This window comes from Homo sapiens, chromosome 6 (genome assembly GCF_000001405.40).
Source record: "Homo sapiens chromosome 6, GRCh38.p14 Primary Assembly".
NCBI lineage: Eukaryota > Metazoa > Chordata > Mammalia > Primates > Hominidae > Homo > Homo sapiens.
In genome coordinates this window covers 78,078,080-78,101,934 of record NC_000006.12, presented here as the reverse complement: position 1 = coordinate 78,101,934, position 23,855 = coordinate 78,078,080, and the positions used below count along the sequence as shown (strand labels likewise).

Genomic DNA, 23,855 nt, shown 5'->3' with positions numbered 1-23,855 from the left:
GGAAAGGAGAATTACCTTTCATTTTACACCTATTTAGATTCTTTGCATTTTTGCCATATTAAAAACACAATTTAGATTAAAAACAAGACACAAAAGCAAATTAACTAACACTATATTATTTCCTGTGTCTTTTCTTTCCTAAACAAATTACAACAAACTTGGAGGTTTGAAACAACAGAAATATATTCTTTCACAGTTCTCAACTCCTGAAGTCTAAAATCAGTTTCACTGGAAATCAAGGTGTTGACAGGGCTTCATTCCTGTTGGAGGCTCTAGAGAAGTCATTTTTTGGCTCTTCCAGCTTCTAGTAATTGCTGACATTCCTTAACTAGTGGCCCCATGACTCCATTGTCTGCTTCTGTTGGTCACATTGCTGTATCCTTTGTCGATTCAAATCTCCATCTGCCTTTTTCTTAAAAGGGCACTTGTGATTGCATTTATGTCCCACCCAGGATAATCTTCCCATTTCAAGATTCTTAATGACATCTATAAATATCTTTTTTTCATGACAGTTTTCAGGAATTAGAACCTTGTGTCTTTGGGGGTCATTATTCAGCCTGCTGTAAGCACCAATTAGACATGTTCCTATGCATGGATTTACTGAATCCACACAGCTAGTCTGTGAAGTAATTGTTGTTCTAATTGTGCAAGTGAGACCACTGAAGTTCGAGAGGTTAGGTGACGTATATCCAAAGGCACAAGTAGCAAGTGGTGAAGAGTTGATTCAAATCTAGACCTAATCTGGCTCCAATTCGCTTTTGTTTTTCCATTTTATCCTAGCAGCTTCCCAAGTAATAGATACACAGTAGTGTCTTAATAAATGTTTGTTGTTACAAAATTAAAATAATAAAATAAAACTATTGAGATATTGAAGTTTGCCACTTTATCATTTCATTACTATTTTTAAAAGTTCACAGATTTTTAAAAATTTTTTTTTTTTTTTTTTTTTTGAGACGGAGTCTCGCTCTTTCACCCAGGCTGGAGTGCAGTGGCGCTGTCTCGGCTCACTGCAAGCTCTGCCTCCCAGGTTCACGCCATTCTCCTGCCTCAGCCTCCCGAGTAGCTGGGACTACAGGCACCCACCACCGCGCCCGGCTAATTTTTTGTACTTTTAGTAGAGACGGGGTTTCACCGTGTTAGCCAGGATGGTCTCGATCTCCTGACCTCGTGATCCGCCCACCTGGGCCTCCCCAAGTGCTGGGATTACAGGCGTGAGCCACCACACCTGGCCAATTTTTAAAACATTTTTAAAAATCAGATGTCTCTTCAGAAACTGTTTCCTAATGTCAGTGCAGTGCTGTTTCCAAACGGATCGCCACTGTGGATTGGAGACAGTTTTATCAACGTAACACAAAATAACGCAACACATAAATAATGTGAAGAGGCTGAGCCAGGAATAAATTGAATCCCTGTACAGACAAATAATGAGCCCCAAAGTTGAATCAGTAATAAATAGCTTATTGTGATGGTTAATACTGAGTGTCAACCTGATTGGATTAAAGGATACAAAGTATTGATCCTGGGTGTGTCTGTGAGGGTATTGCCAAAGGAAGTTAACATTTGAGTCATTTAATCTGGGTGGGCACAATGTAATCAGCTGCCAGTGTAGCTAGAATATAAGCAGGCAGAAAAATGTAGGAAGAGAGACTGACCTAGCCTCCCAGCCTACATCTTTCTCCCATGCTGGATGCTTCCTGCCCTCAAAAATTGAACTCCAAGTTCTTCAGTTTTGGAACTAGGACTGGCCCTTTTTGCTTCCCAGCCTGCTGATGGCCTATTGTGGGACCTTGCGATTGTGTGAGTTAACTCTTAATAAACTCATATGTATATACTTTCCATTAGTTCTGTCCCTCTAGAGAACCCTGACTAATATAGATATTTTGGTACTAGGAGTGGTTCTAGAGGAACAGAATATTAAGGATGGAGTTATTTCATTGGTTTGGGGGTTTCTGGAGTTGGCTGCTTAATATGATTAGACCTCAAATTGCTAAGGACTCTACTTCTAATACTATGGAGAACCCTGATAGTCCTTGGCATGAACTGTTTAGAAAGTTATGCAAAATAAATGCATTTGACACTCATGGTTCATCACTCGTGAGAAGCAAAGGGTTTACTGACTCTATGCATAATACCTTTGACCCTATGCGGAGAACCGGGAACATAATGCTGCTGGTTGGTTGCTCCTAAGTTCAGTGGACAAAGTGATGAAAGAAAATGATGAACTCAGGGATCCTATCTCCCAGCTTCAGAAGCAAATACTGAGCCCCAAATCTGCTAAGATTGAGCTGAGAGTCTTATCTCCTGTAGAGAAAGAGCTGAAATTGTGGAAAAATAGACACAAGTTCTTATCGTGTGAGTGGCCGACCTGCAACGAAAGGTGCATGCCCAACCTCACCAGATGTCTACTGTTAAAGGAGGGCATTTGTTGGAAAAGAATGGGACCCTGCAACTTGGAATGGGGAGGTGTGGGAAACACCTTTCCCGTCCCCATAGTGGCAACATCCCCTCCCCCACCCATGCTGCCATCAGCCCTTCCACCTTTGAGGAGATAAACCCTGTGCTGCCTGAGGCAATGGTGATGGCCTCCCCGAGGCAGTTTCCAGGCAAGATAATGTTGATTCTCCTCAGGAAGCCAACACCCCTGTTTGCTTCCAGTCCTATAGCTAGACTAAAGTCCTGGTGGGCCCATAGAGGTGAGGCTGAGAGTATGACCCATGAGGAGGTGCACTACACTCAGAAATAACTGCTTGAGTTTTCTAATTTATGTAAACAGAAAACTGGAGAACAGGCGTGGGAATGGATATTAAGGGTGTGGGATAATGGTGGAAGGAACACAGAGTTGGATCAAGCTGAATTTATTAATTTGGGCCCACTAAGTAGCTACTCTACATTTGATGTTGCATCTGGGGAGTTAAAAAAGGTTCTAATAGTTTATTTGCTTGGTTAGCTGAAATATGGATTAAAACAGGAATACCCATCTTGAATAGTTAGGTGAGCTAGTAATACACTTCTAGTGTGCTTAGGCCTTTATACCTTTTGTGTCTATTTTTTTCCAGCAGCTGTTTGTACACGTACCAATGCATCCTTCATTCATCCTACTCAAGTTTATAGCATAAACTTCATGCTGCGAGTTCTCCAGGTTCTGGATCTTTAGTTACATAAATTCTTATCACTCTTAATTTTTTTTTCAGGGCTATTGTTTGTGTTGTAAACATTGAAGGCATATTTTGGAACTCAGAGCCAATAATTTGAAACAAACACTAAGATTATTTTCTGTATTATTTCCACTGGAGCAAAACATTTTAACCTGTTTGTTTCTAATGAAAGAGCTGCAAGGCAAAGAGGAAAATTTTATAGTAGTAAAAGAAAATACATGGATAAAAATGCTGAAATATTATTCTCTTGTACAAGGTTAACTCAATGGAACAGAATGCTCTTGGCATACAATTAAATTTGAGATGAAGGGAAGGCAAACACAGGCCTTCTTTCAGGTAGAAAACGTTTGCATTTAAAGATTTATTGTAATACAGAGTTTCAACATGCTCACACTTACAATATTGTCCTTCTGGAAAAGGACCTTTTTGGTGTCCCAGTGAATCAGATAAGTGAGGGTTAGTACCTGAGGTTCATTGGTCTATGTTGATTTTATGACTAATAGAGCTAGGTAATTCTTTTTTACAAATTTTTCATTTGAACATAAAGTGTTCAGTAAAATATAGGAAGTAAAAGGAGATAATTTGCAGCTGATCCACATATGGCAGAGTGACTAAAAGTAAATGATAAAAATGGGCTGATGCTTGGAAAAGAGTTACAGAGTCAGTGGGATCAATGATTATTATTATTAATAATATTGATATCTCCAGTGCTTATATTATCTTTTATGCTCATAATTTATACCTTATAAATTTTTAAATAATCTCTCAACAAGCATGAATGTAATTATTAGTGTATATTGTAAAAGTCTGAGAAAACAAGCTTGGAGAGATTTGTAGCAAATGAACTAATGTCATACAGCTGCTATGCTGAAGTTTCATGTGTCCAACTTGTTCTATCATTTTAAAAATGTCTGGATTAGGAGTTTCTGGTTCACTACAATAGCCATCAACAAACGATGATTATTGATAAACTACTGTGTCCTGAATTTTAATATTCTTTCATTGTGCTTATTTTCTCTAGCATTTTACTAATTGTTATGTCAATATCCTTGACCTCAAATAAAAAGGTAATACTACTTCTGATGTGCCTTACAGAAGAAAGAGTTAACTCCTCTGACAAATAAAATATTCCTATTTTTTTTAAATCAACCATTTGGACTGAAACAGAATGACATTTTAGGATAAAAGTAAATAATCAATATTTTAAGCTTTTTCAATACTAAACAATGCCATTAATAAATGCAATGTCCAGATTAAATGTCTTTCCTGATATAAAGTATTTCTAAAGCCGGCTAACATCTGGTTGCTAAATGGCCTAAAGAGCGAGGATTTTAAGAAAACCAAATATTTTACAAAGAAAACAGAGAAAATATTTATAACCATAGTAACAGCTTAATTTAAATTTGGTATTTTATATATTATTTCAGATTCATGATCATTTACAGAATCACATTATTGATTACTTTTAGGAGGCAATAAACAGTTATGCAAATGAAGGCAAATTGTATCATGTTCACACAACACTGGGTTACAGCTAACTATAGGGAGACTGATTAAGCTGGTGGAGAACTCAGATTCAATACTTAATCAGAATGTTCATTAGGAAAATATATGGTCTTAAGAATTTGATTATTAAATCACTTTGTTGCTAATAGTACTTATTCCATTCATTCAACACTATATATATATATATATATATGTATATATATATATATATATATATATATTTTTTTTTTACCAGAAATAGGCAATATGTTGCAGGTATAGAAGGTATGTTAGAGAAACAAGATAAACTAAGTCTCTGCTCTCATTGTGCCTACTTTCTAATAAGAAGGAAAAAGAAAGGAAGTAAGGAAAAGAAGGTAAGTAGTGAGTAAGAATTAACAAATACTTGTATTGAGTTTATTGAGTCTGTGGAAGGCTGATTGCCTCTCCACAGCTATATCCACTGTGAATTTTTAGCCAAGCATGCACTGGTAGGCCCAGGAGATTATGGTTTAGGTGGGCCAATGGTTAGGAAGAAGAGCAGAATTCAGAAATGAGTGAGGATAAATTGGGACCCACAGGTATCTCCAATTTGTCTTTCACTGCCTGTAACTGTGATGATCTTTAGGGACTGATTGCTCCTGTTTCACTGGTCCAAATCTCATGCAAATTTCTCTTGTGGCCAGCTACACACTGGCATCATATAGAGAAGATGATTCAGGAAATGTTGGAGTATACACAATTTCACTGTTATTTATTCTATGTAATATTTCCTATTTATAATATTTTACTTCAAAATAAAGATATAGGCAAAAATAATTACTTCAGGAAATTATGTTAAATATCAATGTCAGTATTTTTTAAGTCAGCACAGAACTATAAAGTTATGAAAACCTTTTTGAGTCTTCTCTCAGTGATGTTCCATGTATCTCTGCTTATTTACCTAGTGCTTTGGACTTGGCAAACATCATTTCAAGTTCTTATATAAAATCCCCACAGAGTAGTGGCAATTTGTCAGAGCATTTTTTTCCTCACCTTTTTAAAAAACAGTAAGTAAAATGAGGAGAATTATAATGGTGTATGCCACAATCATGTCAGTGTGAGTCCCCACAAGATGTTAGCCAGACAACTGCTCTACTAACTAGCCTATAGCAATGAAGACAATGTTCTCTGATGCAGGAAGTGGGAACACATATCAAAGGATCAGTTGATCTGCAAATTTAATGTTTATTCTCCTTCTTAAATGTATCGAACAGATCCATGCAATTCATATTATTTTTTAAGAACTGTCAACCACATCCTTAAACTCTGGCAATCTTCATAGCATAAAAAATAACTCATTGCACCCTTTAAACTAAAAGAGAAGGCTTGTGCATGATTTAATAAATGTGATTTTGGATGTCTAAGCATCAATTAACTTTATTTTTGTAATTGTCTGAAGCTCAGCTATGCCATTGACATTATTTTATTCTCCAATAATCAATAGCTAGAGCCAACCAATTTGATTTTTTGATATGATTCATCTCTTGTATTTACACAGTGCTTATAGAAAACAAAGTAATTTGAATTGGAAAGGTATTTGATATTGAAGACAGACCCTTAAAATTGATTTGTAGTTAAAGCGCATTGACTTTTTTTTATATTTTCAAATCTAATATTACCAGAATCCTGTAAGAGAATATTCATACCAATGAAACACTTTAAACTGGCCATTGCTATGAAATTGAAATGGAGAAATACAGTTTTTACTTCAAAGGAATTTCTACCTTAAGTCAGTCTAAAAGCATTTTTTCTCTACATGTATTAAGTGGATTTAGAGTGCATCATTAAAATGAAAGTAACCTCAATATATCATCTTTAGAAGTGGATGGAAAAATGCTTTAAGAGGATCTAAATTGCATATTAAAGAAACCAACTTTATTAAATTATGGGGCTTCAAATTAAAAGATATTTCAGCAAACCTGTTAGTCAGATTCTTACTGAGAAACTCTTTAGTTCACAGCTGGAAATCACTATTCATTGTGCCTGTATTAAAAAAAATTCCCCTACAGGATGTTGGCAGTGTCCCTACCTGAAGTAAAAAGAACCTATCCAATAGCTGTTTTGACATAAAATTCTTATTAAGAAAATTTATATTTGAAAAAGTTTAATATGGAAGTGATTACACTAGAGAAAACAAACTTTTCAATAAGTTTAGTCTGCTATTTTTGTAAAACTCATTTTGCCTTACAATTACAGTTACATATGGCATAGTGACAATGACAATAAAGCGGGCTTCATCAATACTGAAGTAGACTGAGTTGGATTATTATTTAGACAATTTTTTAAAAACTGTGTCAGATTTACTTTCTTCATTCATAAAATATAGACTAATTCTAACTCGATTGTAACTGTTGTGAAGATTAAGTAAAATAATCCTTGAGAAAATACATAGCATCTATCGATATATAGTGTATATACACAAGATGGTTATTACATTCCCTTATTTGTGGAGGTTTATTCATTATGGCACAATTTACAAAGTTAATTTATTTATAATACTTGCTTCTAATGAATCACTCAAATATAAAAAGTGTCAATAGTAACTCTGAAAACAAATGTCAGGTTGCTTTTTATGTAACTCAGTTTTGTTTCTAATATGCCAAAATTTTTTCCTTCCAGGAGAAGAAAAGCTTCCTTCTGCAGAATAGAGAAAATATTACTTTCTAAAACCTGTATTCCCGATTAACTCCCACCAATATGGCAATACCTAAAATTAGTTGACCAGATAGGAACCTGTAACCCATTTCTTCTGTTATATTCATGTCTCTCACCATCACCTCTACTGGCTTCACACCAAGTCTTAACTATCCCCTTGGCTTGACTAAACTTTAGACAAATTTCCTCCTAACCATAGGCCAGAAACCTTCCTTTCCTTAGAGTACTTACTTTAAAAAGCTTGTAATTGCAAATTATTTATCTGCCTCTTTAAAGTGTAGACACAGCTCCCAACCTCCTGCCCATTTTATAAACCAGTAATGTCTCTCTCAAGGACCTGGGAGTCATCCCTTTGAAATGTAATCATCAAGGAAGGTAGCTTTCTTCTCTTTCAGCCTCTGGAAAGATAGCAGCCTAATTGCTAAGTGCCAATTAGCAAACACAAATAGCCTAATCACAAAGAAAAACATTTGCAAATTCAGAAGTGACTCATTCAACATGCTAGACACACCCAATTGACCAACCTCCCCAATAATATCCTCCAGCTCACCCTACACTTAAAAACACTCCCACCTTCTGTTTTGGTGGAGTTGATTTCCATCTCTCTCCCTCGTACAATTGTCTTGAATAAAGTTGTCCTTGGCTGTGTAACTCTCTCAACTGCAAGTTTTCTTTGACAGATTCCTCCTTACCAAGTTTAAGGTCTATGGTTCATCATTAAAATTACACTCTTGCCAATTCCTAAATTCATTTGTCTCTATTTTGCCCAAACTTCAAATCTGGATAATTCATTTCTCTAACTGCTCTGGTTGAAGAAAAACACACAGCCAGCTGACTCACTTCACTCTAGCTGCTGACTTCAAGTCTGGGAATACTGTTTCATCCCTTTGCTTGCCTTAAATGTCCCACACCTTTTTGCCCACAAGCATTCCACAGAGAAAATAGAAGCAATCAGAGAAAATGTCCACCAGCACTGACCTCTATATCAATCTACTAACCTGCATCTGAGACCTTATACTTTGCCCTTCCCGATGCTATTGTTAATAAGTTAGCAATGCTTATACCTCAGGCAACCCCTTCACTTGTGCCCCAAATCTATTTCTACCCCATCTACTCAAGAACGTAGCTCTGGAAACTCTCCCATCTGTATGCCATGTTACCAACTTTTTCTAATCTACTCAACCAGCCCAATCACCATGCAACATGTTGTACATATTTCCATTTTAATCCCAAATCTTCTTCCAGATACTGCAACAAATTTCACCTCCTTTTTTCAGCAAGTATTGAGAAAGTGTTTACAGTCCCTCTCCCCCCATTCTCTTTTAAAATTACCACACTCAGGTTTTAGCTCCCACCCACCGAAAGTATTGTGTAGGCCACAAATAAACTTTTAAATCCAATTCTAAATTCTAGATTTATTTGACTAACCAGCAGCATTTGGCATAACTAATAATTTCCACACTTTCTTCATACGTCTTAAAGAACACCAAACTATTTCATTTTCCTCTTAAATAACTGGCCCATTTTTCCTTTACTGGTTCTTTCCATCTCTACACTGCTTAATTAGTGTGACTAGGTTCAATTTTCAGACCTCTTCTCTTCTTTAATTGAACTCATTCCCTAGGTGATCTCGTCCAGTTTCATGGCACTGAATATTATCTAGATGCAAACATTGAAGCAGTTTTTTCTCCAGCTGAGACTTCTCCTCTAACTTCAAAATATTTGTCCAACTACCTCCTAGACATTTTCATTTGGCTGGTCAATGGAAATCTCAAGCATAACATGCTAAACTCCAAACTCCGGATCTTTACCTCAAACACACAACTTCCCAGTCATCACTGTCTCTGTCAATGTCATTGTTCCAGTTGTTGGTGGAAGAGAGGTGGGGGCATGACATTAGACTTAATCTTGATTCCTGTCTTTCCCTACTTCATAGAGTGATTCTTTGAAAATATAAGATATTATAAATTTGCACATAATAATACATCAATATCTTTCTTCCCCATTTGGAGTGGATGTCAAAAACCTCATAATGACCTAAAGGCCCTATCTGGCATGGTATCTCAGTTGCCACTGTGATCTCATCTAATGCTCTGTAATCTAGCCACATGTGTCACCTACCTGATTCTTCACATATGACAGGCATGCTCCTGCTTCATTACTTTTATACTCTCATTCGCTTTGCATACTCTTTTTGCAGATCATCGATCACTCTCTCATGTCACTACCATCAACCATTTTATTTAAAATTGCAACTCTACCCCTGAATCACTCTATCTCCTTTCCTGATTTTTCTTCAGAACACTTCTTACAACCTGATATAACACATATGAATGTATGCATATATTTATTATCTGTTTCTTGAAGTTTAACATAAGCCTGTATGAGAACAGAGACTTTTATTTTCCTGGTCCCTAGAAAAGTACCTGGCACATAAATATTTAAGGAAGGAAGGAAGGAGAGAAGAAGGAAAGAAGGACACCATTGTTAATTCTGTATCATTATCTGTAATCTAGATGGATATTATTAGGGTGCCTATTTTCTTAGCGTTTTGAAATTTTATTGCATATTTATTAACTCTTAGAATTTGGGTAGGAGATAAGATAAAGCCATAGCTATGTTCCTAAGATGCTAGTTTTCACATGCATCCATGTGAAGATACCACCAAACAGGCTTTGTGTGAGCAATAAAGCTTTCTAATCACCTGGGTACAGGCCGGCTGAGTCCGAAAAGAGTCAGTGAAGAGAGATAGGGGTGTGGCCGTTTTATAGGATTTGGGTAGGTAGTGGAAAATTACAGTCAAAGGGGGGTTGTTCTCTTGCGGGCAGGGGCGGGGGTCACAAGGTGCTCAGTGGGGGAACTTCTGAGCCAGGAGAAGGAATTTCACAAGGTTAATTGCTCAGTTAAGGTAGGTCAGAAACAAATCACAATGGTGGAATGTCATCAGTTAAGGCAGGAACCGGCCATTTTCACTTCTTTTGTGATTCTTCACTTGCTTCAGGCCATCTGGATATATAAATGCAGGTCACAGGGGATATGATGGCTTAGCTTGGGCTCATAGGCCTGACACTAGTAACAGTTATAAAAGTGCTGCTTCCTCTTTCTCTACTAATGCTGCTCTCACAACTTTGGTTTGTCATCCCCTTTGATTTCCCATCCCCTCATACCCTGTAGGACAGTTAAAAGGTGTTAAATTTCTAGAGCTTATATGGATGATGAGGTTTCACTGTCTCTAAAAACTCTTTAGTTATTAAGAGAATTATGCCAGCTGGTCAGGTTGAGTTTATTGGAAGATCCATTTTTTAGCAGTGTCCTGATGGGTAAGAATCTGATTTTCAGGGTTGATGATTCTGAAACTTGAAGTTATTTTGTTAAAATAATAAGCATCCTGAGCTTGAGTTGAATTGAGATATTGATTTTTACAGTACAGTATCAATTTGTTAATTAATAATAAATACTATCTTTCTACTCATCAGGGAACATGTTTTGCTATATTTCTCCTCTAATATCTTCTCCATAACAGTATTCTAATAAGAAATGTGATGTTACACTTTTGCACTTAAGCTCGTATAAGAGTCCTCTGTTACTTTTCAGATTAAATACAAAGTCGTTATAGATATACAATGATGTTTAAATATCCAGTATCAAGCTCAAGTTATTTTTCTGTAACTCAAGTTAATTTCTGTCTCTATTTTATCATGCTGATTTCAGTCCCTTCTAGGCATTCTCCACATCCACCTTCCAGGGACTTGTTACGATACCGAGGTCTTGTCAATGCAAAATATCTGAGACAGGTCTCAGTCAATTTAGAAAATTTATTTTGCCAAGGTTAAGGATGCACCTGTGACACAGCCTCAGGAAGTCCTGAGACATGTGCTTGACAGAGCAGGAGCATCGCCTCTTGGACAAGCCCCTCATTCTAAAGTTTACCTTAATAAAAAACTGCCTAAATCCAAAGGGCATCAGCCTAATGGCTAAGGTCAGCATGACCATAAAGCACAAATAATATTTCCAACCAGAAACATTCCAAACTCCTCCCCAACCAGAGACATGCTAGCCCCAAGATAAACCCCCCTCTGGCAGGGAAGATGCTAGCCCTGAGATAATCCCTCTCTGGGCTGGAAAGACGTCTGCCCCAAGATAATCTCCCATCCTCCCAGAGAGATTCCAGCCCCGCCATAAACTTCTCCACACACATAAACATTCCAAGCTTGTGATAAGCCCCCTCACCCTAAAACAATATATACTCTTTGTCCGTAAGAGTAAGCGCTCCTGACCGAAATAGCCAGAACAACCTCTCAGGTTTGAGCTAAAGTAAACCTGTCTTTAACTACCAGCTGCATTTCGTGTTTCTTTCCTCTTTCTTTAACTCTCACAGTGCTCATGTGGTTGGGGGTACAGTTTGCTTTTACACATTTTAGGGAGACATGAGTCATCAATCAATATGTGTAAGGTGTACATTGGTTCAGTTCGGTAAGGCAGGGCAACTGGAAGGGGGGTCTTCCAAGTTAGAATTAGAGAAGAGACAAAGGATTGCACTCTTTTGAGTCCTTGACCAGCCTTCCACTGAATACGCAATTTATTCTGGCTCAGTGAATCTGCATTTTTACATAAATGATAGGGCAGAGGAAGCAATCAGGTAGGCATATGTCTCGGGTGAGCCTCAGAGGGATAACTTCGAATGGAACAGAAGGCAGGTTTGCCCTAAGCAGTTCCCAGCTTGATTTTTCCTTTTAGCTTAGTGATTTTGGAGTCTCAAGATTTATTTTCTTTTCACAGTGTCATGTAGTGTTCAGGCAAAAATTTGAGGAAGGACAACAATGTGGATCTTGGCTTAGCTCCAACAGGTTTACAGTGAGATATATGTCAGCTTGGTTGGCTTGGATACTCCAAGTTCTGTGACTCAATTGTATTCTGTCCCACACAGAACTTACAGAACTTTGGAGAAATTACCCATGCCTTTATTTTCTTAGACGCACCACAAACTTCCCTCTGGTGACTTGCTAGATTCCTTGTGAGCTGCCAGGAGCTGCCAACACCTCTCTCTCTCTCTCTCTCCCTCTCTCAACATCTCCCTTTCTCCCTCTCTCCCTCCCTCCCTCTCCCTCTCTCCCTCCCTCCCTCTTTCTCTCTCCATCTCTTCCCTTTCTCTCTCCTCTTTCTAGCTTTCTCATTATTCCCTCCCTCCCTCCATCTCTCTCTATTTATCTATCTTCCCTTCTCTCCACAGTTCTCTTTTTAATCTTGGAGATTATAAACAGAAGTCTCATGTTCCCTTCTATTTCTCTCAATTCATATTATGTATGTCAGGAATCCTTTTCCTAATTTGTGCATCTAGTTTCTGGAAATAAAAGCTGTAAGAGCATAGGGTCTTGTCCTATATTCCTCCCTGCCACAAACTTCTCCCAAAACAACGAGCACAGAGCCCACTGGAAATATAGGTAAAGAAGACAATAAAGGGAGGAAAAAGAATGCCTTACTATCAATATTATGACATTTACAGTTAGATTTCCATTTCATTTCCTTACTCATCCATATTTTCCCTACTTTCTCATAGCATCAGATGTGTTGTAGCTTCCTGAATACGTTTGCTCCTCTATATTTCCTAGTATTTGAACAATCCTACTTGTCTTTTGCCTGCTTTAAATGACTGTTCGTGTGTAAACAACAGTATGTGCAACATGATGAAAGAGGAGAAAAGGATGCCACCACAAACACCTTTACATTGAAGTGTATCTGGGAGACAGCTCTCCCTACAGAATGGCAGCTAACCATGGGCCAACTAAGAAGCCAATTTGAGTCTTTCATTAAATGGTAGTAAGGGTAAATAATTTCTTTTTCAGACAAAATAAAACATACTATAGATTTAGATAGATAGATAGATAGATGATAGATAGATATGCACATATATGCATGTGTATATACACAAACCCATATGTACGCTTAGAAGTGGGAATATTTGTTTACCTTTCAGATAGACCTGTTGAGCATTTTGTGGCCCCTATATGATGCACACACCTTACTTTGAAGACTGAATTTAACATACATTAACCTCTAACATTTTGTATATTGAAGCTGCCATTTTGGTATCATGACACCAATTTTTCAATAGTGTTATAATGTATTACTTGCCAATTTACCATTAGTTATTTTATGAGATTTGCAAGACAGATTAGTCACCTGATAGCAATTGTGATCTGCATTTGTATTTTCAGCAGAGCCTCCATAAACCATTTCTCCTTAATATGGATAAACATGCACATTTTTATGAAGATGATAAATATCTTCAATATCATAGGAGGGCATTTTCTGACCTTGCTCCTGAATTCTGAGGATAGCTCTTTCTATGCACGGATTAGAGCTCATCTGCACACACCCTTCGGTAAACTCCTTGGAAAAGAGTTTTTAATAGTAAGGATTTAGATTATTATCATTCAAAGATGTTTTATTAACCTCCATCCACAATGTGCATATTTCTACAGCTTTTTTTTTCATAATTATAATAGGGAGGCCCTCAATATAGACTATAGATTTTTCTAGGTTCATTGGTCAGTTCCATCTAACTTTCCTCGTAACATCTATTTTAAATCTTGCCAAGGCCACTAATGTTATAATGCTGCTAAATTATATGATCACATTTTGGTTCTTATCTTGACCTATCAGCAGTTATTAGGCTTGTTTCCCTAAGAATAAGAAGCCCGCTATCTCTGGGAAGTAGCTCTCTCAATAAACAGACATGGACAAGTCAACACTCAACTGTCAAGCATTCAATAACACTCCTTGAAACAAAATAATTTTTAAAAATCAGGCTTCTACCCATACAGCGTCAACTCTCCTCATTCCTTCACTTCTTACCACTTTTTCCAACCATGCTGGAGTTTCTTAAGTTTCCAAGCTTTTGCAAATGCAACTCCTTCTCTCCAGAATGTGTGTCTCATATTTCTCAACAACATATGCAGCACAGATAACTGGAAAACCAACTTTATGCAAAAACAATAATCCTGTTTCCTTTGTCTGTGTCAGTATTCTTCTTTGTGCCCCTAAGTACTTCCTTTGTGATAGCAATTTTTAAATTGTTGTATTGTCTATTTATTTACTGGCTTTTCCACAAGACAATAAGTTCTTTTGCATCGTATAGGAACTTGCATGTAATAGCTATTTAATACAGCTTTGCGGAATAAATTAAAGAGTTAATCTCCATGCCTTTCTCCCTTTTTCATTTTTTTCATAACCTTTTCACATATAAGTATGTTGAAACTTTGAAAGTGAGATTATTTAGAAAAATAAGAATCTCATACCCCATGGTTTGCCAATATTTATAAACAAATAACAGTAGAAAACATGTTTTTGCATTTAATTTTAAAACTGTTAGATGACCTTGTTGACAATAAAAACAAATTATTTACCTAAATTAAAGCTAAAAAATGATAGAATGAATAAAATAGACATCAGATCTCTTTTGATTGTTTAATGTTTTTAAATTAAATATAAGATATGCAACATCTTAATAAAAATAAGACACACAAACTTTTTATTTTTCTAAAATTCTCATGATTTAGCAAAAAAGATCTTCATGGTATACCACATTTACCACAGGCTAAAATATAGTTTGCAAGGCAGGAAGGTTTTCATATTAAGCTTTGCTTATTAATTCCCTGAATTAGAATGGCTCTTAGAGGAGAAACAACTAATTTGCAGTCAGCTTGAAGAAATTGAATTGGGTGATGATAGCTATATTTAAAGCTTGTGACCTTACATTGTCCTATTATATGCCTTAAGGGCATTAAAAGTACTCTAAATTAATTTTAGAGGCTACATAATAATGTTTCCATTAATCATAAAATCCAAGACCAGTATGCCCCTTGGTGCTCTGCTATGATTTTAATCTTCCTAACATGATTTTGTCATGTGTTTTATTTCTAGAAAAATTCTATGATTTTTTTCAGACCTAATTTTCTTAAATCTTGGCAACAATATGCACCTCTTTCTAACTCCTCCCAACACTTCTGAAATTTAGAACTTATGTATTTTTTCTGCATCATACGTTCAGTCTTCTCCAGTGTTTAATGATACCTTTATGGTTGCATATAACAGATGAGCAGTGATGTCTGCATGTCATGAAGATCCTGTGTGCTTTCAAAATGGCAAAAACTAGTAGTTTAACTTGTGCCAAGCACTACAATTTTTCACAGTAATACTTTGTGTTTCATCAGTCACTTTAGGAATAAGGTAACTGACACATAGATAAGTTTAGTAATTTGCCCAACAGCAATCAGCTGGTAAGTAGCTCAAATCTAATTTTATTGAGCCTAAGTTGCCACAAATGTGATTGAACATAGATGATCATTCCTCCCTTTACCTTCCTCTGACAAAATAAACCTGAATAACCAAAAATTATTAAAAAGAACAGAAAATTTGAAATAACCCTTGGACACTAGGTATCCACCCATGCCACCCATGGGTGGCACCCATGCCAAAGAATTCCTAGACATTATGCAGATAAAACTAAAAAGAAGTCATTGAGGGTAGAATTGATATGGACAGGAGGCAGGGAAAAACTGGGTAGAAAAGGGCGGGGTCATTGGCAAGGGCTCCACCCTCAAGCCTAGACCTGCAGCCCTAAATGAGAACATGCATTCCGGTTTTCCTGCCCAAATGTTGCCTTTTCCAAAACCACCCTGGCCTTCCATGCCCCCCATCCTGTACCCATAAAAACCCAAAGCTCCACTAGCAGAGGGGCAGAGTGGCACAGCAGAGAAGGAGAGAAGAGAAGAAGCATCTGAATGTTGAGAGGAGAAGAGCAGCTGGACATAGGAGACAATGGTCAGAGAGGAGTTCACCTGAACCCCAGGGGAAGATTATCATTCCATCTCATTTCCAGCTCCCCATACCACTGAGAGCCACTTTCCCCACTCAGTAAAATCTTTGCATTCATCATCCTTCAAGTTCATGTGACCTCATTCCTCTTGGGCACGGAAAAGGACCTGGCTGCGGGTGCAAGATGCTGTCACGCTGACTCTCTAGCAAGCTGTTTTAACACTTAGTCATTCTTGGAAGACAAATGCTAAAAGAGCACTGATTGTAACACATGCCCTCTGGGGCTCCAGAGGTCACAGGCAACCCCTACATGCTGCTGCACAGGCTAGTATGGGGTTTGTTCCTGCTGGTGCCCAAAGGCACTTGTCCTGGCTCCTGCACCCGTTAACCTGTGTGCTCCCTCTCCTTCAAGAGGTTTGAGTGCAGCACCCAGTAAAGGAGCCACCCCTGTTGTAAGTCCCATGAGGGGCTCAGGGGAACTCTCCGGTCTCAAAATCACATTATTGTTGTAGAGAAATTCGTACCCTATCTCTGCAAGCAAATAAAGGGAACCCTAAGAGATTTGAAAATATTGGACTGTCTCCTAGGGCAGCAGGCTATAAGAAACATAGGAACACGGTCCACCTGGAGAAGAAGCCAGCCTCAGTGGAAGGCTAATTATGGAAAACAGCTTTTGAGGGAAGAATATTCTCTATGCAGAGAGAACAATGCAAGTGAAGAAGATTCTCACTATCAACTCATTCACTACTTAATCAGGCCACTGGATCACCAAAAGGGAATTGATAGTAAAAAATTTGAAGTAGAAGAAAATGCTGTCATAACAAGAATTGTTTGTACTTGGTGTCTCCATTTCTACTTCTTCCATTCTATCTTGACCCTACACCAATACAACTTTTGCCTTCATCTCTCCACTATAATGTCTCTTGTAAAGATCACTAATGACTTCTGTGTTGCTGAATCAAATGATACCATCTCGTCCTCATCTTACTCAACCTATGAGCAGCATTTGATCCTGTTGATCATTTTTTCTTCCTAAATTGTTATTCACTTGAATTGCAGGAAGCCACAGTTCCTAATATTCTTTCTACCCACTTCACTCCTCCTCAGTCTGTTTCCTTTACAGCATGCTCCTCACTCTCCTGAATGATTAATATTGTCGACCCTGTGGCTCAAGGCTTGGTTCTCTGTCATATATGCTCTATCTTGGTAATCTCATCTAGTTCCATAGTTTTGAACAACTTTTAATTACTTATGACTCTCAAATGCATATCTCCAGCCCAACTTTCTATGATGAACTCTAGATATATATTTCTGACTGCCAACGCAACCTATCTTCTTGGATATCTTGTAGGAATATGAAACATAAATAACCCAATGCAATTTATGAATGTTTTCTACTAATCTGCTCTACCTGAAGTCCTACTCATTTCAGTTAATGGAAACCCAACCTTTTAACCAGCCAAAAAGTTAAAGTTCAATCTGTAAGCAAATATTAGATTTTTTATGTTTAAATACTAATTATAGTGTTGCACTATATGAAGGTATTACCTGTATGAAAAGTAAAGGTAAAACTGTATAGACTGAATTAAATATGGCTATTTATATTACTCTTAAGGAAAATGATACATATGATACTAAAATGTTACCCATAGAAAACATGTTGCATATTCCCATTCTTCTACAGAGAGGTATTAGAATTTGATTATCTGCATAATAATCCATTGCATTAAAAAACATTATCTTCTCTTAAATTTGCTTTTTAAAATTTTTTTAATTTGCTACCAATAAACAGTTTACATAGAGAAATTGATGATGAAAATTAATATTTATTAATCCATTTTTGTAAATACTTATTATATGTTGAGTCACCAATCAATAGTATTTATCTGCTAAGTAACCTGTAAGATTTACTTAAGTAATAAAACCTGAGATTTAAGGGCAGCCCCAGTTCCAAAAATGTCACTGGTAGAGAAGATGTAAAGTTCTGCTTTATTTCTAACACATAAAGTGCTTGGAATCCATCACTCCCATGAGAAAGGGAACATAAACCACTTTTCTTGGACCTGTTAGAGAAATAAGGTCACAAGGTAAACCAATACCCAGAATCTGTAGAGAAAAGAGGAACGCAGAGAATCACAATGAAGATCAGCTTACCTGGAGCAAAGACATAGTCATAAACTGATTGGACACAAAGTAGTTTTGGCTAATTACTGGAGGCTGAGTCTGGATGACCTAGCATGAGAGTGAGAACCTCCTGGGGGCAACAGTCATAGGGAGCCGCTGCACTTTTTATGAGTTCTCCTCCAGGAAACTGACTAGTTCTCATGATGAAGATTAAAGACGTATCCCGTCATGTTTCTACTAGGGGTAGAGGAAAAGTAATCATTCTGAAATACGTTTAGAGCATGACTAAGAACTGCTCTCCAAGGGAAACAACAACCAGAACCAAACCTAATCTATCTGGGGAAAAGGCAATCAGTCAAATTCTGCTCTAGTTTTCCTGTCTTCCTTATGAGGGGAAAGATAAAAGCTAAGAAACACATATGAAGGCCATAGCTCAGAAATGCAGACCCCTAAAAGACTAAAATTTAATTTACAGGATTATAGAGCACTTTCCCTTCCATCACAAAATGCCTTACCATCACATCACAAGGGCTCTAGAATAATAACAGTGCATTATAACTAACAGAGCTTGAAGATGCAGATTCAATAAAAGGAATTATTAGAGACATCCAAAGACAAAAGAGGAGACAAAAATAAGAACATTTAGAGGATGATAAAACCTATGGCCCCTACAGCTACTGCAAACATAAACACAGTCCAACTCCTAGACAGATTCACATTAAACCTCACACTAAAGGCTTATGAACTTAAGCTCCTATTACCCAATTTCCAGCTTTTAGTGAAAAATTACAGTGCATATTGTGATAGTGAAAATTATGTGTCAACTTGACAGGGCCATAAGGTTTTCATATATTTGGTCACACATTATTATTTGTTTTTACTTTTTAACTGACACACCAAAAAATGTACATACTTATGGGGTACAGTGTGATGTTTCACTATATGTATACAATGTGTAATGATCAAATTAGAATAAGAAGCATATCCATCACATCAGATATTTATTATTTCTTTGTGGTGGGAACAATTAAAATCCTCTCTTCTATTTATTTTGAAATATAAAATATATTATTAACTACAGTCACTCTACTGTGCAATGCAACATGATAATTCATTCTTCCTAAGTGTAAGTTTGTACCCATTGACCAACCTCTCTTTATGCCCCTCTTCCCTCTACCCTTTCCTGCCTCTGGTAACCACTAATCTACTCTCTACTTCTTTGAGATCAATGTTTTTGCATTCTACGTATGAATGAGATCATACAATATTTGACTTTCTGTGCCTGGCTTATCTCAATTAACATAATGTCTCCCAGGTTCATTTATTTTGCTGAAAGTGACAGGTTTTATTCTTTTATGTCTGAATTGTACTCCATAGTGTAAATATATTACATATTCTTTATCCATCTGTTTGTTGATGGACACTTAGGTTAATTTCACATCTTGGCTATTGTGAATAGTGCTACAATAAACATGAGTGTGCAGACATCTCTTGAACCAACCAATTTAATTTCCTTTGGATATATACCCAGTAGTGGGATTGTTGGATTATATGGTAGTTCTATTTTCAATTTTGGGAGAACTTCCATAGTGTCTTCTATGGGGGCTCTACTAATTTGCATTCCAACCAACAGTGTAGAAGAGTTCCCTTTTCTCCACATCCTTGCCAACTCTTGTTATCTTTTGTCTTTTTGATAATAGCTATTCTAACAGGTGTGAGGCAATATATCATTGTGGCTTTAATATGGATTTCCCTGATGGTTAGTGATGTTGATCATTTTTTCATATACCTGTTGTCCCTTTGTATGTCTTTTTTGGAGAAATGTCTATTTGGATTTTTTGCCCTTTTAAAAATTTAGTTGTATCTTTTTGCTATTGAGTTGTTTGAGTTCCTAATATATTCTGGATACTAACCCCACTTCAGATGTGTAACTTGCAAATATTTTATCCAATTCTGTAGGTTATCTCTTTACTCTGTTGATTATTTTCTTAGCTGTGCAGAAGCTTTTCAGTTTGAAATAATGCGTTTGTCTACTTTTGCTTTTGTTGTCTGTGCTTTGAGGTATTGAAAAAAAAAAAAACAACTCTTCCCCAGATCAATGTTAAATGTTTCTCCTATGTATTCTTCTAGTAGTTTTACAGTTGCGTGTCTTACATTTAAATCTTTCATCCATTTTGAGTTGATTTTTGTAGGCAGTGAGAGATGAGGTTCTAGTTTCATTCTTCTGCATGTTGATATCCAGTTTACCCAACACCATTTGCTAAAGAGACTGTCCTTTCCTCAATGTGTGTTCTTGGAGCCTTTGTCATAGATTAATTGACTGCAAATGCATGGATTTATTTCTGGGTCATATAGATACTCTATTCAATTGGTCTGTGCATCTTTTTTATGCCAATTCCATGCTCTTTTAGTTACTATTGCCTTGTGTATTTTTAAGTCAGGTAGTGCAATGTCTCCAGCTTTGCTCTTTTTGCTCAAGATTGCATTGGCTCTTCAGGGTCTTTTGTAGTTCCATGCAAGTTTTATGATTTTTTTTCTATTTCTGTGAATAATGTCATTGGCATTTTGATAGGGATTAAATTATATCCATAGATTGGGAATTATGGGCATTTTAACAATGTTAATTCTTCCAGTCCTTGAACATTGGACATCTTTCCATTTATTTGTGTTTTCTTCAATTTCATTAGTCAATATTTTGTAGTTTTCATTGTAGAGATCTTTCACCTCTTTGATTGTGTGTGTGAGGGTGTTTCAGGATGAGGTTAACCTTTGAATTGGTAGACTGAATAAAGAAGATTACACTCCCTTATGTCGGTGAGCTTCACTCAATCAGTTGATGCCGCTAAGAGATCAAAAAGGACGAGTACGAGAGAATTCCTCCGCCAAACAGTCTTCAGACTGGAACATTATATTTTTCTTGCTTTTGGGCTGAAATGGAAACACTGAATTCTTGCTGGTTCTCTAGCCTACAGGGTTTAGTTTTGAACTAGACTCCCACCATGACTTTAAATATAAAGCACAGATAGGTTAAAGTAAAAGGATAAAGATATACTATGTTAACACTGATCAAAGGAAAGCTGTTTTAACTCATAAAAATAGATATATTAATTTCAGACAAGGCAAACTTCTTATCAAGAAAAATTATTTGTGACAAACAGGGGTATTAAGTGATTTTTAAAATGGGTCAGTTCTCCAAGAAGATATAAAAAATCTTATTCATTTACCTGTGAAGAGAATATTAAAATACATGAAGCAAAAAAAAAAAAAAAAGAACTCCAAGAAGCAATAGAGGAGTATGCTATTATATCTGGAGACTTCAGCACAACACCTATCAAAAATTAACATATCCAATGATCATAAAATCACTAAAGAAAGAGTTGTACTGAACAGCACAATCAATCAGTTGGATCCACTTTATACATATATATAGAATATTTCATCTAACAACAGAATGCGTGTTCTTCTCAAGCTCATAGAAAACATTAAACAATACTGACTTCATTCTGTTCCATAAAACACACTTTAACAAATTTTTAAAAATAAAAATTATGTAAAGTATATGCTTAAACAATGATGGAATTAAACTAGAAATTAATAACAGTAAAACACCTGGAAAATCCAAAATATTTGAGATTAAAGAACATACTTCTAAATAATGTGAGTTAAAGAAGAACTCTCAAAATAAATTTAAAAATATTTAGAACTAAGTAAATACAAATAAAAACACAGGTTATCAAAATTTGTGGAATGCAACCACAGCAGTGGTTGGAGGAAAATTTATAGCATAAAATATATTAGAAAAAAAGAAATATTCAAAATAAATAAACTGAGCTTCCATATTAGAAAAGTAGAAAAAGAAGAGTAAAGCCTAAATCAAGTAGAAAAGTAGAAGTAATAAAAATTAGAGCTTTAACAAATGAAATTGAAAAAGAAAATCCATAAGGAAGAAAAGTTCTTTAAGAAGCTGATTTTTAAAAAAAGATCAATAAAATTGATAAATGTCTAGCCAGGTTAGCAAAGCAATAAGAGAGAAGACACAAATGAAACATATCAAAAATTAAAAAAAAAATCAGTATTAATTCTATGAGCTTTTAAAGCTCATAGAATAAATAAATATTATGGACAACTCTATATCCACAAATTTAAGTCTTAGATGAAATGGTCAATTTCTTGAAAGATACAAAATACCAAAACTCACTGAAGAGAAACATAATCTGAATATAGGATATTGAATCAATAATTTAAAACCTTCTTAAATAGAAAGCATCAGGCCTATATGATTTAACTGATGAATTTTATTAAACATTTGTGAAGAAAATAATACCAGTTTTTCCATACATTTTGCAGAAATGTATGGAAAAAATAGAACCAGGGAACAGTTTCTCATTCATTCTGTGAGGTACGCATTCCCCTAACACTAAAAACCAGATAAATACATTAGAAGGAAAGAAAACTACAGAGCACCTGTTGTTTTGAAACAACAGGTGCTGGGGAGGATGTGGAGAAATAGGAACACTTTTACACTGTTGGTGGGACCGTAAACTAGCTCAACCATTGTGGAAGTCAGTGTGGCGATTCCTCAGGGATCTGGAACTAGAAATACCATTTGACCCAGCCATCCCATTACTGGGTATATACCCAAAGGATTATAAATCATGCTGCTATAAAGACACATGCACACGTATGTTTATTGCAGCACTATTCACAATAGCAAAGACTTGGAACCAATCCAGATGTCCAACAATGATAGACTGGATTAAGAAAATGTGGCACATATACACCATGGAATACTATGCAGCCATAAGAAATGATGAGTTCATGTCCTTTATAGGGACATGGATGAAGCTGGAAACCATCATTCTCAGCAAACTATCACAAGGACAAAAAAACAAACACTGCATGTTCTCACTCATAGGTGGGAATTGAACAATGAGAACACATGGACACAGGAAGGGGAGCATCACACACCGGGGACTGTTGTGGGGTGGGGGAATGGGGGAGGGATAGCATTAGGAGATATACCTAATGCAAAATGACGAGTTAATAGGTGCAGCACACCAACATGGCATATGTATACAGATGTAACAAACCTGCACGTTGGGTACATGTACCCTAAAACTTAAAGTATAATAATAAAAAAAAAACAAAACACATAAACACGGAGTCACCATTTGACTCAGCAATTCCACTCCATGGTATATACCCAAGAGAAATGAAAACATATGTCCACACAATAACCTGTACACAAATGTTCATAGCAGCACTATTCACAATAGCACAAAGGTGGAAACAACCTACGTGTTCATCAATGGATAAGTTAAAGGAAATGTGGCATAGTCATACAATGGAATATTATTTAGCCTTCAGAAGAATGAAGTTACACATGCTACAACATTGATGAAGCTGGAGAACATTATGCTACATAAAAAAGCCATTCACAAAGTACTACATATTGTATAATTCTATTGACATGAAAGGCTCAGAATAGGCAAAATTACAGAGACAGGAAGTGGACTAATGATGGCATAGGCCTAGGTGTGTTAGGCTAGTGGAAGCATAAGGAAATGGAACATGAAT

The 23,855-nt window shown here is 36.4% G+C and overlaps 1 long non-coding RNA gene across 1 annotated transcript in view, besides 2 other annotated features; it reads left to right on the top strand.

Moving 5' to 3' along the window:
* Positions 1-23,855, top strand: part of LOC105377865 (uncharacterized) — a 374,941-nt gene that overhangs the window by 198,887 nt on the left and 152,199 nt on the right. The window lies entirely within an intron of this gene.
* Positions 7,389-8,027: an enhancer, noted in NCBI's record as "NANOG hESC enhancer chr6:78803625-78804263 (GRCh37/hg19 assembly coordinates)". NCBI's record gives its function as "activates a minimal SCP1, AML or CMV promoter by ChIP-STARR-seq in primed H9 embryonic stem cells {active_cell/tissue: H9 hESC(primed)}" and the evidence as "EXISTENCE:reporter gene assay evidence [ECO:0000049][PMID:30033119]".
* Positions 12,755-12,924: an enhancer, noted in NCBI's record as "experimental_95703 CRE fragment used in MPRA reporter constructs". NCBI's record gives its function as "activates a minimal promoter by MPRAs in K562 erythroleukemia cells, with activity observed for both the introgressed and non-introgressed 6:78798813 variant alleles {active_cell/tissue: K562}" and the evidence as "EXISTENCE:reporter gene assay evidence [ECO:0000049][PMID:34662402]".